We start from the raw sequence: 14592 nt of genomic DNA on the forward strand, positions 1-14592 counted from the left end.
GTATTGTAAAAAGTTCTACTGGACATGCTGGTCTAGAATACTTTTAATCTTTGACCAGATTATTTCAGCAAACATCCTCCTAACTCTGCACAAATTTGAAAGGTAGGGTCAGCATTCTCCTCACTGCCCTGTGTTGTTTCCCAACTACTTCTATTCCACCCCCAGTGACAACCCCTGTTTTTTCCCTGCCACTCAACAGTACTCAGTGATTCCCTCCTCAATAGCTAAAGTCCTTGGGACATGGCCTAATCTCACTCTCTACTATAACTCTGGCCTGATCCAGTGTTTATAAAGACTGAGAATCTCAACACAGCTGCCCATCAGATCCTTGACCACCTTGCTCCACTCCAGCTGTCCACTTTATGTATCTGGGACCTTCTCTCCAGAAATAATACACAATTCTGAAATATTAAATTCATGTATCTCAGTCTCTGCCCACAGCCTCCAATCCATCCAGTTATTTCATTCATTGTCTCCTACTACACTTGCTCCTCATTTTCCCAATATTTTCACATCCCTGATGTTTTCACTTCTTTCATTAGGCAGCTTTTGTCCTATGGTCTAATGCTTCTACCATTCTCATGTCAATAACTTTGAAGTCTTACTATATTTCCAGGCCTACAATATTACCTATGCCTAAGCTGCTTAGACTGGTAGAGAGTACCTCACAAAGGCAGACCTTGGTACTACTAATGATAATTTATGGTCTTCCACTCAATCAGGCTCTCAGTGCTACCCAGAAGTGCTTCTATGTTTTCCTAGGTAGCTCTCTTTCCCATCTTCCACAAAGGCTAATTTAAGTCTCTTCTTTTATCCTCAATTTTGCAAAGAACCAAGGCCCATCACTTCACGAAGAAAAGAGAAATCATCACAAGGATTTGCCTTCAAATTTCCACAGTCAAATCCATACACTCACCTATAGCTGTCTTTTCATAATTCCCTCTCATGCAGTAAGAGACAATCCATCTGCTTGGCTCTGAACCCTTAGACTTCACTCTACAATTAGAATAACCTTCCTGCTTCTTCTCTATTTACTTTCTACCCTAAGCTCAACCAATATTACTGAATGCATGAAAGAAGGAATGTGAATGACTAACCACCTATGATAAAGTACTTCAGTATATCTTTTTTTTTTTTTTTTTCTGAGATGGAGTCTTGCCCTGTCGCCCAGGTTAGAGTGCAGTGGTGTGATCTCGGTTAACTGCAACCTCTGCCTCCTGGGTTCAAGTGATTCTCCTGCCTCAGCCTCCTGAGTAGCTGGGATTACAGGCGCGCGCCACCACACCCAGCTAATTTTTTTTTTTTTTTTGTATTTTAGTAGAGACAGGGTTTCACCATGTTGCTCAGGCTGGTCTCGAACTCCTGACCTCAAATGATCCACCTGCCTTAGCCTCCCAAAGTGCTGGGATAACAGGCGTGAGCCACCGCGCCCGGCCTTGAGTGTATCTTTAAATGCTAATTAAATGAGTTTGTTTATTTAGTAGGGCAGTCATTTCATGTAAGTATGGAAATAATCTGTGATATATTCACACACTAGGATACTAATATAGACATAAATAAGTTAACAAAACTGAACTACAGTAATATGAACATCACACATATATTGATTTAAAAAAAACACTGAAGAATATGATTCCAATGTATTAAGTTCAAGAGCTGGCAAAACTAATTCATCATAGAAGTCAGAAGAGTGATTATCTCTGGAGGAAGATAAACAAACTAGGAAGGAACATGAGTGAACCTTGTAGGGTATAGGAAATTTCATGTGTCATTTTTTAGGTGATGATTATGTGAGTATACAAACACATTTTAAAAATCATAGAATCTACACTTGAAATTGGTATACATTTTATACCTTATATATGTTGTCTCTCAATTAAAATAAATATTAGAATACTTTCACTTTCTAGTTCTTTTGTATATCTCATAGCGCCGAAGGTGATATACTGTATATAAACGCTGAAGCATTCCATGTTTTCAAAAGGAATTAGGCTTTTGTTATTTTATCCTAAAATACTGAAGTTCTATAAGAAACCATAAGACTGAAGTCACTTAACAACTTATTCTCACCCTAGATTACTATGTCTTCTGGCTAACACAGTAATTTTAATACAATATACTTTCATTCTACAAAAAAAAAAAAAAATTAACCCAAGGACTTACTATAGCAGTTTTCATTGAAAAGAGAATTTATAAACCTACTCAACTTGCTGCATCCTTTATTTTTGCATCCTTTATTTTAAATAGAGTCCTAGTTTAGTTGCTGAACACATAAAATTGCTTAATCATGGCTGAATCTGCTTCTCTTTTGATCATGATTTACCTTTTTATTATCATCCAATACTGTGTTCATGCTCTCTATCCACAAAGTGTCAATAGGACCATCAAATACAACCCATTTCCGGTCAGGTGTTTCTGATAAGGCAAATTCTCTAAAAGTGTTAGCCACAATACCATCAGTCCACTGAGGAGGAAAAAAAAGAATTAAAAAGCTCTCCTCATAAAATTAGATTTAGGAGTAAAACTATGAAAATACTTCACGTTTCTTGTTTTAACAGGCACTTTCCATAAGAGAGTTGGGAATACTTATATTTAGGTTACCTCATGAGACACTGGGTCAAACTGTCCAAAAAGTTGGCCCATAGTAATAGATTTGGGGTTTACAGTTCTATAAATGACCTTTTCTTCCTCTCCATAGCCATGTTCATTCATTAAAGTTAGCGTATCCGCCAGCACATGCAGAACTTTTGTCTTAGCAGCAAAAGGCTCTCCTACTAACATAAAACTATGAAGGAAAAGAAATAATTATACAATAAGAGTCTTTAAAGAGTTAAATAATTTATATCAGTATATAAAACTTTACCCTGTGATAATTACTACTTATAATTTTTGAAATCATATGAATTTTTCTCAGACATGAAGAAAACATATTTAATTTCTGAACTGATTGACTACAAATCAAATTCTTCACTGTAATATTATTTTCTCCAAAAGGGAATATAATAAACAATCTCCAAATGACAATGAAAACTTATTATCTGTGTACTCTTAAAAAAACTAAACCTGAAGCCCACTAAGGAGAGAACTGGGAAAGATTTATATTCCCAAAGTCTTCACTTGCCATAAAACTATTAGTGTTCTTTACCAACTATTTCTGGATCTCCTCCCTCCTGGCACATATAGGATTTCTGGCCCTCTTGTGGAAAGACTAGGTAACTAGTTCTAACCAACGGGTAATAAATGGAAATGATGGGCATTACTTCCAAGCAGGGATAGGTAATTGCCAGCTAGAGACCTCACAGAGCTCCCTTTTCCCTCTAGCATGGCCGTGACCCACAACGTTGAGGTGGTGCTTACTCTAACAGCCTGGGCCCTGAGTGGTCATGACGAGCAGGGCTGCCCTGGTAACCTACTATATATAAATGAGAAATAAATCTTTGTTTTTTAAATCACTAACATTTGGGTGTTGACAGTTCTTACAGAATATCCTAGCCCATCCTTAATAACAGAAGTTGGTACCTAGAAGAGGGGGGGATATTCTTGCCATAATAATAATAATAAAAAAAACCTAATGTGGCATTGGCTTAAAGGCCAGATTGTGAGTGACAAATTAACTGGTATCAGAAGCTAAAATATGGACAATTATTGTCATGCAATGAATGATGAAACATTTGGTAAATGTATTCCTTGAGATTACCTGGAAGACAGCTAATTACCTAAGGAAATGAGAATTTTAGGTGAAAAGGATAGTAAACAGAATGTTATTAGTATATAATGACAGGTACTGGTTTCACTTAAAAAAGAACCATAACAAAGAAATGAGCCCAGAAAAAAACATGGTCAGTTTGCAAGCAGGAATGAAAGAGGGAGTCCAGAAATTCAGGGACTTCTGGAATTGAATGTATCAAGTTATTCTCATTCGCAACTGGTAAAAGATAAAATTAAGAAAACCTTTAAACAAAAATCTATTAAAACTCAGTTTGGCATCAAGTATCAAATCAAGGGTAGGGTCATTGTATCACATTATTAAAACCTATGAAGGATTAATATGGGCCGGGTGGCTCATGCCTGTAATCCCAGCACTTTGGGAGGCCAAGGTGGGCAGATCACTTGAGGTCAGGAGTTCAAGACCAGCTTGGCCAACATGGCAAAACCCTGTCTTTACTAAAAATACCAAAATTAGCTGGGCGTGATGGCATGTCCCTGTAGTCCCAGCTACTCAGGAGGCTGAGGCATGAGAATCACTTGAACCCAGGAGGTGGAGGTTGCAGTGAGCCAAGATCTTGCCACTGCATTCCAGCCTGGGTGATAGACCAAGACTCTGTCTCCCAAAAAAAAAAAAAAAAAAAGAATATAATTCCCAGTAATCATTTCAGGAGAATAAAATGATTCATGAAAAACAGACTAAGATTGTGGCTCCCTCCACAAAGCCTGATAAGGTCAAGGATACTTCCAGGAAATTTTAAAAGGTATGGCTTATTAAGGACAGTAGTTACGGATATAGGAACATGGAGCTGTCTAGAATCAAATAGATAAAAAGCTGATTGTTTTTGAGGGAGTTTACTGACCAAAAAAACTGTGAGTCTAGTCTAAAACATAAGTGAATGTTCAAGACTTAAATAATCCTTGGGAACTAGGTGTGGTGGTGCGCACCTGTAGTCCCAGCTACTCAGGAAGCTCAGGAGGGAGGATCACTTGAGCCCTGGAGTTTGAGACCAGCCTGGGCGATATCAACAGACTACATCTCAAAAATACATAATAAATAATATTTAAAATAATCCTTGGGTATTGAATGCATAAGGGTTGATTGTACTATTCCCTCTATTTTTGTATGTTTAAAAATTTACATAATGTTTTTGTAACCCTACCTTTAGAAAAAATCGTGACCATTGAGATCCCAACTTTCTATAGGCAAGAAGCAGGCTCAAAACATTTCTCAACTCTCCCAAGAACAGTATTTTCTCTATTGCCCACTTCATATGTGCCCAGAGAAGAAAATGGAAATGGAAAGACCTCTCAGAAGGTTAAACTAAGGCCCAAGAAGAAGAATTAAACTGGAAAGCCCCTCTCAGGTAGCAAAAACCAAGCAGAAGTAGATTCAGGTTTTAAGAAAGGTGGCTCTCTAAGTAAATATAAATATATATACACACACACATAACTTACTTATATAACATATATATAACTTTTACTTATATAACTATAAATACAAAATGTCCATAGCCACTTTAATGACACCCTGTATAATAAATCACATATACAAAATGCTTATGGCTCCTTAGATGAGGCCCTTCAAGTGAGAGGTCCTGAAGTTTAAACTCTATTAGTTTCACAATCAATCCATCTCTAGAACTGGGGCCCTCACATGACCAGCTGGATTTCAGAATTGTCACATTACAGTGTTGGCTGTGTCTTCTATTCTTCAGTTTCTGAATGGGAGTGTTTGCTCTGGTAACCCTGTTCTGATAAGCCCACTATTGTGCACTGGGTTTGTGGAGAAAAGATAACTTGTCTTTCTAGGTTGTAGGTCTCTGGATCAAGAGGAACAACTTCCAGGTATGATACAAAGGCTACCATGCATCGTCACCTAGGGATCCTGAACTTTGAGTCTGGTTCATTTATTGATTAGAACTTTTAGGTGCCTCCCTGGGAAGGGAAGAGTGTGTTTTTATGCAAATGGTGGTATTTATTAGTACTAGGTCACTGAATGAGCACTTCTTACCAACCCTTGTTGGACATGTAGTATGAGAAATAAACCTTTGCCTTTTAAGCCACTGGGGGGCCAGGGGGCGGGCGGGGGTTGCTCTCAACTCACCTAATCAGTTTGCCAAGTCTTTGGTTCATGGATTTTAGTTGTTTTACCAGCTTAATTAAGAAATAACATCTAACTATAGCAATATATAATCTTACCCATGTCTAACAATCATCATTTCATATGTTTGAATTATTTTTTCAAGAAAAAATTTAACAGGCTGAAGATTATGTACATTGCAGGCTTCATGAGCACATTCCAAAAATTCCTGAAATAAAAAAAAGTAATGCATTTCTACAACACAATATTATAAATGTCATACCTGTCTTATAAGTGTAGATTTTAAATTTACTAGTTAAAAAAAAACTATCATCATTGTTTATTATTTCTTAAAACTTTATTATTTTTTCAAATCAAGAGGAGAAACATAGACTCAAAATACTTTTAATGTATTAGTCTTCCCTATTGTAAGTTATGAATGATCATAGCATGATAGTACTGGGTGTATGCTGCATGAAAATAACTCCTTTTAATAGTGTTTCCCAGAATTTCACTTTTGGTTAGGAAATAGAAAGACCTGTCAGACAATCCTGCACACTTGTAGTAACCAGAAATAAACAAATAAGTTTTTTAAAATTATAAAAAATTTAAACACATAGAAGTACTTTGGATGCAAATAAATATATAAAAGAACTCAGTTTCAGAAAGGGATGATGAGCCTTTCCTAGGTAAGCACAAAGCAACAGCTGTTTTCACCCTAGGGACATTTTCTAAGTCTGGACTTGGTGGATATCGGATTGGGCCTGCTATAGACAGAAGGACTTAGCCAAAGTAGGAAGAAACCAATAGAGATTTTAATGGTTGTGTGGGCTTATGTGACAGATTTGAATTTGGAGAAGCCCAAATGCCAAGCTGGTTCTCCCGAACATCCATGCTTTTGCTCAGCATGTAGTGACACAAGAGACCAAGGGCTTGGCTGGAAAGACACACAGAGAGATTTCTTTAGTCTCAGAATGCTTAGATCCCAAAATCCTACTACAGGGAAGGGCCAATCATATGGCAGGACAATTCTTACTCAGAAGACATTTGAAGCCAGAAGTAAACTACAGCTCAGTAATGCTGCAACAAAACTCTGACTTAGGTCAACACTCAACTGAATTGATTAGCAATGCAACCTAGCTACCTGAAATAGGGAAAAATCTCATGATTTTTCTGCAGGAAAATAATACCACCTGGCCAGGTGCGGTGGCTCATGCCTGTAATCCCAGCACTTTGGGAGGCCAAGGCGGGTGGATCACCTGAAATCAGGAGTTCAAGACCAGCCCGCCCAACATGGCAAAATCCTATCTCTACTAAACATACAAAAAAATCAGCCAGGCGTGGTGGCGGGCACCTGTAATCCCAGTTACTCGGGAGGCTGAGGCAGGAGAATCGCTTGAACCCGGGAGGTGGAGCTTGCAGTGAGCCAAGATTGCACCACTGCACTCCAGCCTGGGCAACAAGAGCGAAACTTCGTCTCAACAACAAAAAACAAACAAACAAAAACAAAACAAAACAAAACAAAACATCTTAGCCTGTATAATTATTTTATACACATTGTTTAACATACAATCAAAACTTAAGGTTGGACGTCCTAGCCAGAACAATCAGGCAAGAGAAAGAAATAAAAGGCATCCAAATAGAAAAAGAAGAAGTCAAACTGTCTTCTCTGACAATATGATGCTACACCTAGAAAACCCTAAAGACTCTGCCAAAAGGCTCCTGAAACTGATAAATGACTATGGTAAAGTTTCAGGAACAAAATCAATGTACAAAAATCAGTAGCATTTCCACACACCAATAACATTCAAGCTGAAAGTTATATCAAGAATGCAATCCGGCCGGGCGCGGTGGCCCACGTCTGTAATCTCAGCACTTTGGGAGGCCGAGGTGGGTGGATCATTTGAGGTCAGAGGTTCAAGACCAGCCTGGCCAACATGGTGAAACCCCATCTCTACTAAAAATACAAAACTATCTGGGCAGTAGTGGCACGCACCTGTAATCCCAGCTACTTGGGAGGCTGCAGTAAGCAGAGATTGTGCCACTGCACTCCAGTCTGGGCAACAGAGTGAAACTCTGTCTCAGACAAAAAAAAAAAAAAGGAAAGCAACTCCATTTACAATAGACATACACACACACATACACACACACAGTAGGAATATATCTAACCAAAGAGATAAAGATCTCTACAAGGAGAACTACAAAACACTGCTGAAAGAAATCATAGATGACACAAATGGAAAAACATCCCATGCTCATGGATTGGAAGAATGAATATTGTTAAAATGGCCATGCTGCTCAATGCAATCTACGGATTCAATGCTACTCCTATCAAGCTACCAAGATTACTTTTCACAGAACTAGAAAAAAATTATTCTAAAATTCAGATGGAACCAAAAAGGAGCCTGAATAGCCAAAGCAATCCTAAGCAAAAAGAACAAAGCCAGAGGAATCACATTACCCAACTTCAAACTATAAGATTACAGTAACCAAAACTGTATGGTACTGGTACAAAAATAGTGACACAGACCAATAGAATGACTAGAAACCCAAAAATAAAGCTGCACACCTACAGCCACCTGATCTTCAACAAAGTGGACAAAAGCGATGGAGAAAAGACTTCCTATTCAATCCATAGTGCTAGGATGGCTTGTTAGCCATATATAGAAGAATTATTGGACCCCTACCTTTCACCATATACAAAAATTAACTCAATATGGACTGAAAAGTTAAGATCTCAAACTGTAAGAATCCTAGAAGAAAACCTAGGAATCACCATTCTGGACACTGGCCTTGGGAAGGAATTTATGACTAAGTCCTCAAAAGCAATCGCTACAAAAACAAAAACTGACAAGTGGGACCTATTTAAACTACAGAGCTTCTGCATGGCAAAAGAAACTATCAACAGAAAAAACAACAACCTACAGAATGGGAGAAAATATTCACAAATTATGCATCCAGCAAAGGTCTAATATCCAGAATTGATAAGGAACTTAAACAATTGAACAGGAAAAAAAAACATTTAAAAATGGGCAAAGGATACGAACAGATGCTTCTCAAAAGACATGCAAGCAGCCAACAAATATATGAAAAAATGTTCAACATCACTAATCGTCAGAGAAATGCAAATCAAAAATACAATGAGATACCATCTCATACAAGTCAGAATGGCTATTACTAAAAAGTTAAGAACAACAGATGCTGGCAAGCCTGCAGAGAAAAGGGAATACTCATATGCTGTTGGTAGGAATGCAAATTAGTTCAGTCACCGTGGAAAGCAGTTTAGAGATTTCTCAAAAAACTTAAAACAGAACTACCATTTGACCCAGCAATCCCATTACTGGGTATATATCCAAAAGAAAATAAATTGTTCTACCAAAGAGACACATGCATGCATTATGTTTACCACAGCACTATTCACAATAGCAAAGACATGGAATCAACCTAGGTGCCCATCAACAGTAGATTGAATAAAGCAAATGTACATATATACCATGGAATACTATGCAGCCATAAAAAAGAACAAAATCATGTCCTTTGCAGCAACATGGATATAGCTGGAGGCCACTCTCCTAAGCAAATTCACACAGGAACAGGAAACCAAATACTGCATGTTCTCACTTGTAAGTGGTAGGCAAACACTGGGTACTCATGAACATAATAATGGCAACAACAGACACTGGGGACTACTAAGGGGAAGAGAGAGGGAGGGGAACAAGGGCTGAAAAACTAACTATTGGGTACTATGCTCAGTACCTGGGTGATGGTATCAATAATACCTCAAACTTCAGCATCATGATTATGCCCATGAAACAAACCTGCACATGTACCCCTTGAATCTAAAAGTTGAAATTCCTTTAAAAATAAGTAAATAGGCCAGGAGTGGTGGCTCATGCCTGTAATCCCAGCACTTTGGGAGGCCAAGGTGAGTGGATGGGTTGAGCCCGGGAGTTCAAGACCAGCCTGAGCAACATAACAAGACCTCCTCTCTACTAAAAATACAAAAAAATTAGCCAGGTGTGGTGGTACATTCCTGTAGTCCCAGCTACTCAGAAGGCTGATGTAGGAGGATTGCTTGAGCCCAGGAGTTGGAGGCTGCAGTGAGCCATGATTGCACTGCTGTACTCCAGCCTGGGTAACAGAGCAAGACCCTAACTCTAAATAGTCACTTCATAACAGAACCAAAAAAATAATGAAGTCATGAGAAATAGCTGATGACCAAGAGAAAAAACAGTAAACAAAACAAACTCATAGATGACCCAGATGTCATAATTAACAGATAAGAACTTGACAATACATTTACAAAGTATAAAAAGAATAGATTATAAGATAGAAAAAATAGAGGAAAAAATATAGAATTTTAGCAGAAAAGAGAACTCTCTAAAAAGAACCAATTGGACACACTAGAACTAAAAAGATCAAAATATGTGAAATTAAGAATTCATTGAATGGGCTTATCAGCAAACTGGACAAAGCCAAAGAAAGAACCACTAACCTTGAAGATAGGTCAATTAGAAAGTATCCAAACTACAGAGAGAAAGTAATGAAAAACAAAAGAGAAAAAAAGAGGCATGAGAGACACATGAAACTATATAGAATGGTCTAATATACATGTCACTGAAGTTCCGGAAGGAGAGAGGAGAAAAAATTAAGGCATAAAAACATATAAAAAGATAATTACTGAATATTTTCTGGCTGAGTACAGTGGTTCATGCCTGTAATCACAGCTCTTTAGGAGGCTGCTTGAGCCCAGAGCTTGATACCAACCTGAGCAACAAAGTAAAACCTTGTCTCTATGAAAAATAAAATAATTAGTTGGGTGTGGTGGCACGCGCCCATAATCCCAGCTACTTGGGAGGCTGAGATGGGAGGATTGCTTGAGCCCAGGAGGTTGACAATGCAGTGAGCTATGATCATGCCACTGCACTCCAGCCTCGGCAAAAGTGAGACCCTGTCTCTAAAAAAAGAAAAGAAAAAGTAAATTTTCTGGCAAAACACATCAACACACAGATTCAAGCAGCATAGCAAATCCCAGGCAATAAAGTACAAAACAAAACTAGGCACATAGTCAAACTGCTCAAAACCAAAAAAGAAAAAGAAAAAATATTAAAACAGCCAGAGGAGTATAAATAAGAAAAATGCCTGACTTCTAAGCACAACACTGAAAGGCAGCAGTCTATGAAATAACATCTTTAAATGCTGGGCGCAGGGTGGGGTGGGGAGGAGACACCTTGCCAATCTAGAATTCTGTATCTGTGAAAATATTCTTCAGAAATAAAGATTAAATAAAGACATTTTCAGACAGACAAAAGGTGAGGGAATTTGTTGCCAGAAGACCCATATACACACAAATACTAAAGGAAGTTTTTTAGGTTAAAAATAAAAAATCCAAAATGAAAACATATATCTGCTGGAAAGAATAAAAGCACTAGAAAGGGTAGCGTAAGAGGCTTTTTTTTTTCAAATACAATACTTAAAGCAGAAAATAATAACAATGCATTGTGGTGTTTACAAAATATATAGAAGTAAAATATATGACAACAATAGCACAATGGGCAGGAGTGAGTGGATAATGAAACTATACCATTTAAGGTGCTTATATTTTTTGTCAACTGGTAAAATACTAACTGTAAAGTTGTAATAAGCCAAGGATATATACTGCAACCTGTGGAGTGACCACTAAGGTAAAGCTATAAAGCCAATAGAGAAGATAAAATGGAGTGATAAACATTTTTTGAAATCCAAAAGAAGTCAGTAAAACAAATACAGAACCCATTAAAAAGCAAGATGGCAATTTAGTACTATTTTTCCAACTGGAATCTACGGATTTATTGCAGTATTCATAAGAGTACATAAGAGTTCTTCAAGAAAATATTAAAATTTTGTGTTTTCATTTTGGTGTTTAAAAATCATATTAGCATATTCTGAATCATCTTGATAGTCACCTTAACCTGCCATAAAATGCATATTAGTATTTGAGCATAAGAATTTAAAAAACAGACAAAAAAATAAAGATGCCTTTAAGTTAAGTGATCTCTTAATGATTTGACAGCTCAAACAAAAAGATTTTGCAGTCATATCGTAAAGAGAAGACATGGAAGAATTGAATCATCACTTGGCAAAAGGTGGTTTATGAACGCTGAACTCAAGAGAATCTTCACTGTACATTTCACAATAGAAATTCCCATAAAGTAACAAGTTACTTTCAGCCACATATTACCTATTTCATTAATTGCGTTAAATTGAATTTGAGATTGTTTTGTTTGTAATGTTATTTTATTTATTATTTTTATTTTAAGATGGAGTCTTGCTCTGTCGCACAGGCTGGAGTGCAATGGCGCAATCTCGGCTCACTGCAACCTCCGCCTCCCGGGTTCAAGCAATTCTCCTGTCTCAGCCTTCCAAGAAGCTGGGACTACAGGCGTGCACCACCATGCCCCGCTAATTTTTGTATTTTTAGCAGAGACAGGGTTTCACCATGTTGGCCAGGCTGGTCTCAAACTCCTGATCCCAGGTGATCCACCTGCCTCGGCCTCCCAAAGTGCTGGGATTATAGGTGTGAGCCACCATGCCTGGCTTGTAATTAATTTTAAACTATATTCTGGTTTTCTATAACGGCTATAAGCAGCAGTTAAGTATATACATATTTAAGCTTCATTATAATATGTATAATCTACATGAAGTTGGAAATGCGAGTGGTTTGTGTCTTATTTTTGTTATTTTAAATTTTTAATTGACAAATATTTTTATATATTTAAGGTGCAACATGATGATTTGATAAACATATACATTATATAATGATTACCACAATCTAATTAACATATCCATCACTACCCGTAGTTACCGTGTGCATCTGTGTTAAGGACTGTTTCCTTTAAAAAAAAATAAAAATGAGTCTATTAAGTAAATTTGAGAAACAAAGCCTTATTATGTTACCTATAGGATGTTTTACTACTTTCATTTCTATCTAATAAAATACACAATAGTATTTAGTATGCAATACTATATATTACACAATAGTGTAATACACTATTACAGTATGTATACTAATATTGTAAATCACAAGATAGAAAATAAAATATTTTTTCTCAGCCAGGCACAGTGGCTCACACCTGTGATCCCAGCACTTTGGGAGGCCAAGTCTGGCAGATCACCTGAGGCTGGGAGTTCAAGACCAGCCTGCCCAACATGGAGAAACCCCATCTCTACTAAAAATACAATTAGCTGGGCATGGTGGCGCTTGCCTGTAATCCCAGCTACTTGGGAGGCTGAGGCAGGAGAACAGGTTGAACCTGGGAGGCAGAGCTTGCAGTGGGCTGCGATTGCACCATTGCACTCCAGCCTGGGCAACAAGAGCAAAACTCTGTCTCAAAAAATAATAATTATTATAATAAAATAAAATAATAATAATACTTATTCTCTTACAAAGAACATTACTTTTTTTAATTTTTATTTTTTTTGAGACAGAGTCTTGCTCTGTGGACCAGGCTGGAGTGCAGTGGTGGGACACCACCATGCCTGGCTAATTTTTTGTATTTTTAGTGGAGACAGGGTTTCACCATATTGGCCAGGTTGGTCTCAAACTCCTGACCTCAGGTGATCCACCCATCTCAGCCTCCCAGAGTCCAGGATTACAGGTGTGAAACACCGTGCCTGGCCTGTTTAACCTGAATCTTGACAGGTTAACCCTGGTATCATATAATATGAAAGTACCCAAATTTACTTATTGTTATTAACTAAAGTGGACAAAATAGGGGATTTTCCTCAAAACAGAATAATTTCACACATTAATAAATCTTGGTAAACAATTGAGTCATCGGATGAATTTATTATGCCGAATAAGTCATTCTCATGGGTTTACTTACGTGATAGTCAGCTTCAGGAAGTTTAATACCAGGAAATAAGTCACTAGTTATTCCATTAAATAAAGGTATATCATGTGATAAAAACTTTGGTTCATTTACATCTTTAATTGATCGAAGAAGCTAAAATTACCCAAAAAGTACAATGTTAAGTTAGTTGCCAGCAATTGCAACCCCACTTCTCCCTCCCCTCCCAGCCCCGGCCTGCCCCACCCCACCCCCCTGGCTAAAAGTCAAAGTTTATTTTACATTGCTCTCTGGAATCCCTATAATAAAAAGTCAATACTATGCTTATCAAACTAAAAAGTCTTTGTATTCATATGAAGTATAACAACATAACCCAAAAAACCATCATTTCAACCTCTTATGAAAAGACAAAGCTCAACCCTCTCAAGTGCCTATTTGTAGTTCCTGATTAACCTCACTAAAGAAAATTATCTTTCTACTGAAACTTTCCCAATGTGTATATTTAATACTTACAAGTATATCTTCATTTTCATTTGGGTATTTTAGTTTTAGATTGCCAGCAGCCACTAAAACGGCTTTTACTGCTCGCATTCCATAGTCGTAATGAAATTGCGATGAGAGCTGCTCTGAGCAAAGCCTATAGGTCATTACTATTTTCACAGACAGAGGTCTTGCATTCAAAAATCCGTAAGAGTAGAGGGAGATTTCTGCTATAAGCGCATAGTTTGGAACCATCATAGCCACTGTTCTAAAAAGAACCTGAAGTATAAAATAAATGAAATATATTACGTACATAAATGAAGCTGTTTTTAAGCTGAGCATAAGTATTCAAAGGTGTGGTGTTGTCAAGTTTATTCTCCAAATGCAGCACCTTTTTCTAAACTCTAATTTTTTTTAGTAGTACTTTTAATATTTTTATGCAGTTAGTATTTTTTTGGATGTTTAAAAAAGTTTTGGGAGGGAAATTACAATTTT

General features: G+C 37.3%; 1 protein-coding gene across 9 annotated transcripts in view; it reads right to left on the reverse strand.

Moving 5' to 3' along the window:
• DNAH12 (dynein axonemal heavy chain 12) overlaps nt 1–14592 on the reverse strand; it is a 262335-nt gene that overhangs the window by 137344 nt on the left and 110399 nt on the right. For all 9 annotated transcript variants that reach the window (XM_047447667.1, XM_011533468.2, XM_047447668.1 and 6 more), the window contains 5 exons: nt 14131–14376; nt 13654–13773; nt 5908–6017; nt 2602–2785; nt 2324–2464 (listed from right to left, as the gene is read on the reverse strand). In XM_047447667.1, coding sequence (XP_047303623.1) covers nt 2324–2464; nt 2602–2785; nt 5908–6017; nt 13654–13773; nt 14131–14376 — 801 coding nt within the window. The remainder of the gene's footprint in view (nt 1–2323; nt 2465–2601; nt 2786–5907; nt 6018–13653; nt 13774–14130; nt 14377–14592) is intronic.

This window comes from Homo sapiens, chromosome 3 (genome assembly GCF_000001405.40).
Source record: "Homo sapiens chromosome 3, GRCh38.p14 Primary Assembly".
In the NCBI taxonomy this organism is placed as follows: domain Eukaryota; kingdom Metazoa; phylum Chordata; class Mammalia; order Primates; family Hominidae; genus Homo; species Homo sapiens.